Source organism: Homo sapiens, chromosome 6 (genome assembly GCF_000001405.40).
Source record: "Homo sapiens chromosome 6, GRCh38.p14 Primary Assembly".
In the NCBI taxonomy this organism is placed as follows: Eukaryota; Metazoa; Chordata; class Mammalia; order Primates; family Hominidae; genus Homo; species Homo sapiens.
In genome coordinates, this window is record NC_000006.12 from 102,105,432 (window position 1) to 102,109,790 (window position 4,359).

The 4,359-nt window shown below is 41.0% G+C and overlaps 2 annotated features.

Annotated features, from left to right (window-relative positions):
- Positions 1,617 to 2,511: an enhancer, noted in NCBI's record as "OCT4-NANOG-H3K27ac hESC enhancer chr6:102554923-102555817 (GRCh37/hg19 assembly coordinates)". NCBI's record gives its function as "activates a minimal SCP1, AML or CMV promoter by ChIP-STARR-seq in naive H9 embryonic stem cells {active_cell/tissue: H9 hESC(naive)}" and the evidence as "EXISTENCE:reporter gene assay evidence [ECO:0000049][PMID:30033119]".
- Positions 2,512 to 3,405: an enhancer, noted in NCBI's record as "OCT4-NANOG-H3K27ac hESC enhancer chr6:102555818-102556711 (GRCh37/hg19 assembly coordinates)". NCBI's record gives its function as "activates a minimal SCP1, AML or CMV promoter by ChIP-STARR-seq in naive H9 embryonic stem cells {active_cell/tissue: H9 hESC(naive)}" and the evidence as "EXISTENCE:reporter gene assay evidence [ECO:0000049][PMID:30033119]".

The window sequence follows — 4,359 nt, forward strand, 5'->3', positions numbered from 1 at the left end:
GACTGATCTCTCAAACCCCGGTACCTTCTACAAAACAACAACTCCTTTCCTTCCTAGGCATGGTTAGCATGGTCAGAATTCTTACACAAGAGCCAGGAAAACACCCTGTAGCCTTTCTGTCCAAACAACTTGACCTTACTGTTTTAGCCTAGCCCTCATGTCTGCGTGCAGCAGCTGCCACTGCTTTAATACATTTAGAGGCCCTCAAAATCACAAACTATGTTCAACTCACTCTCTACAGTTCTCATAACTTCCAAAATCTATTTTCTTCCTCATACCTGACGCATATAATTTCTGCTTCCCAGCTCCTTCAGCTATACTCACTCTTTGTTGAGTCTCCCACAATTACCACTGTTCCTGGCCCGGACTTCAATCCGGCCTCCCACATTATTCCGGATACCACACCTGACCCTCATGACTGCATCTCTCTGATCCACCTGACGTTCACCCCCTTTCCCCACATTTCCTTCTTCCCTGTTTCTCACCCTGATCACACTTGGTTTATTGATGGAAGTTCCACCAGGACTAATCGCCACTCACCAGAAAAAGCAGGCTATGCTATAGTATCTTCCACATCTATCATTGAGGTTACCACTCTGCCCCCCTCCACTACCTCTCAGCAAGCCGAACTAGTTGCCTTAAGCCCTCACTCTTGCAAAAGGACTACGTGTCAATATCTATACTGATTCTAAATATGCCTTTCATATTCTGCACCACCATGTGGTCATATGGGCTGAAAGAGGTTTTCTCACTACACAAGGGGTCCTCCATCATTAATGCCTTTTTAATAAAAACTCTACGCAAGGCCACTTTACTTCCAAAGGAAGCTGGGGTCATTCACTGCAAGGGGCATCAAAAGACATCAGATCCCATTGCTCTAGGCAATGTTTATGCTGATAAGGTGGCTAGACAAGCAGCTAGCTCTCCAACTTCTGTCCCTCACAGCCAGTTTTTCTCCTTCACATCGGTCACTCCCACCTACTCCCCTGCTGAAACTTCCACCTATCAATCTCTTCCCACACAAGGCAAATGGTTCTTAGACCAAGGAAAATATCTCCTTCCAGCCTCACAGTCCCATTCTATTCTGTCGTCATTTCATAACCTCTTCCATGTAGGTTACAAGCCGCTAGCCCGTCTCTTAGAACGTCTCATTTCCTTTCCGTCATGGAAATCTATCCTCAAGGAGATCACTTCTCAGTGTTCCATCTGCTATTCTACTACCCCTCATGGATTGTTCAGGCCTCCTCCCTTTCCTACTCATCAAGCTCTGGGATTTGCCCCTGCCCAGGACTGGCAAATTGACTTTACTCACATGCCTTGAGTCAGAAAACTAAAATATATCTTAGTCTGGGTAGACATTTTCACTGGATGGGTAGAGGCCTTTCCTACAGGGTCTGAGAAGGCCAACACAGTCATTTCTTCCCTTCTGTCAGACATAATTCCTCAGTTTAGCCTTCCCACCTCTATACAGTCTGATAACGGACCAACCTTTATTAGTCAAATCAGCCAGGCATCTTTTCAGGCTCTTAGTATTCAGTGACAGACTAACGGTCTATTAAAAACATGCCTCACCAAGCTCAGCCACCAACTTAAAAAGGACTGGACAATACTTTTACCACTTTCGCTTCTCAGAATTCAGGCCTGTCCTTGGGATGCTACAAGGTACAGCCCATTTAAGCTCCTGTATAGACACTCCTTTTTATTAGGCCCCAGTCTCATTCCAGACACCAGACCAACTTAGACTGTGCCCCAAAAAGTTGTCATCCCTACTATCTTCTGTCTAGTCATACTCCTATTCACCGTTCTCAACTACTCATACATGACCTGCTCTTGTTTACACTGCCAGTTTACACTGTTTCTCCAAGCCATCACAGCTGGTATTTCCTGGTGCTATCCCCAAACTGCCACTCTAAACTCATGAAGTAAATAAATAATCTTTGCTGGCAGGACTATGCTGAATCTCCTTAGGCACTCTCTAATCAGATGTCCTGGGTCCTCCCAATTCTTAGACCTTTTATACCTGTTTTTCTCCTTCTCTTATTCCGTTGAGTTTTTCAATTCATACAAAACCGTATCCAGGCCATCATCAATAATTCTACACAAATGTTTCTTCTAACAACCCCACAATATCACCCCTTACCACAAAATCTTCCTTCAGCTTAATCTCTCCCACTCTAGGTTCCCACACCACCCCTAATCCCACTGGAAGCAGCCCTGAGAAACATCACCCATTCTCTCTCTCCATACCACCCCCCAAAAATTTTCGCTGCCCCAACACTTCAACACTATTTTATTTTATTTTTCTTATTAATATAAGAAGGCAGGAATGTCAGGCCTCTGAGCTCAAGCCAAGTCATCACATCCCCTGTGACTTGCACGTATATATGTCCAGATGGCCTGAAGTAACTGAAGAATCACAAAAGAAGTGAATATGCCCTGCCCCACCTTAACTGATGACATTTCACCACAAAAGAAGTGTAAATGGCCAGTCCTTGACTTAAGTGATGACATTACCCTGTGAAAGTCCTTTCTGTGGCTCATCCTGGCTCAAAAACCACCCCCACTGAGCACCTTGCGACCCCCACTCCTGCCCGCCAGAGAACAAACCCCCTTTGACTGTAATTTTCCTTTACCTACCCAAATCTTATAAAATGGCCCCACCCTTATCTCCCTTCACTGACTCTCTTTTCCCACTCAGCCCACCTGCACCCAGGTGAAATAAACAGCCATGTTGCTCACACAAAGCCTGTTTGGTGGTCTCTTCACAGGGACACGCATGAAAGGCCCCTTTCCGGTAACAAAGGTGCTATCAAGAAACAGAGAGGGGTTGGTTGATGCTTCTTAACCTTGTTAATATCAAATTTTCTGCATCTGAGTAGTGCTTTGAAAACCCCGGTAAGGTGTAAGACATGGGAACTTTTGTGCCTATTGGAAACCAGAATATGCCACACCAAGGTATACAGGATGATTGAGCCAAAGGCAATGAAGGAGGAGATGCAGGAAAGCACTCTGCCCTCCATGTGCCTAAAAGCAGGATATAAATGTGCAAAGGCAAAGGGTTTCCATGCCCTCACCTACCAGAGAGAAGAAATGTTAACCCTTTAAGACAACATTAGCCGGTGGAGATGGTAGCAGTGGAATCTACATTAACCAGCTTTCCTAACTTGCCGTTAATTGCCCTTAGTTTACCTTTCCACAAGTTGCTATTCTGCACATTCAAAGTTCCTTTCCTTTGTTTTGTCGCTTCTCTAAAATTTTCCTTTACTTTGTTAACGATGCTATATAAGCTGTAATTCAAATTCACCTCTATGAGAATTACTCATTCCCTGGTATCTCCCATGTATATATAAAATATACATGTTAATAAAAAAATATGAACAATTTCTTGTCAAAATTGGAGGGCATATATTATTTAGTTTAAGGATGTAATATAAAACTATAGCAATCAAGATAAAGTGGTATCGGCATGAGGATAAACAAATGAATTGATTGAACAGAATAAAGAGTCCTGAAGTGGATCTACAATTGATTTTTGACCAATTTGTTGAGGTACAATAGTCAGCAGTCTCTGAATTGAAGATGTAGAGCTGTGGCTCTGGGGATTTCAAAGCAGAAAAAGTTCACAGGAAAGAGTTCTATAAAAGAGAAAACTGCACATGGAAATAACTTGGGAAATTTGTAAAGTCTACTCTTTAGGAATCTGTAAATAGTTTTAATTAATGAATGTGTATAATTAATGTGTATTTTAATTAATTAATGTATATAATTAATGTATGTAATTAATGAATGTGTATAAGAAACCTAAACAAGGGTAGCAAAAGAACCACACAAAATAATTAGGGCAAATTATACTTAAAGTTCACAAAGGGCAGAAAATAATACCTGTTTACAATAGCTGAAGTGGAAAATCTTTTTATTCCAGTGATCAGTTAGAGCTGGCTTTGGCAACTTTGGCCTGTTAGTCAAATCTGACCTATGATCTATTTTGGGATAGAATTTGAGATAAATAATTTGTACATATTAAACAGAGGTAAAAAGCAAACATACACACATAGAAACAAATAAATATGTTACAGAAATCATATATGACTTACCAAGCATAAACTGTGCACTATTATATATAAATACAATTATACATGTTTCTTTTACAGAAAAATATTTGCTGGTCTGTTAGCTAGAGTATGATAAGGGTCTTTCTCAGCAGTGAGGGAAATTAATACTAGATCAATGTTTCCTCTTGAAAAAATAAAAATTAAAGCCATGAAAGCAGGACTCAAAAATAACAAGTTATTTTCAAATAGCGTAACTGTGTTCTGAAAGAAATCTCAAGAAGAAATAATATCCAACATCTACAAATAT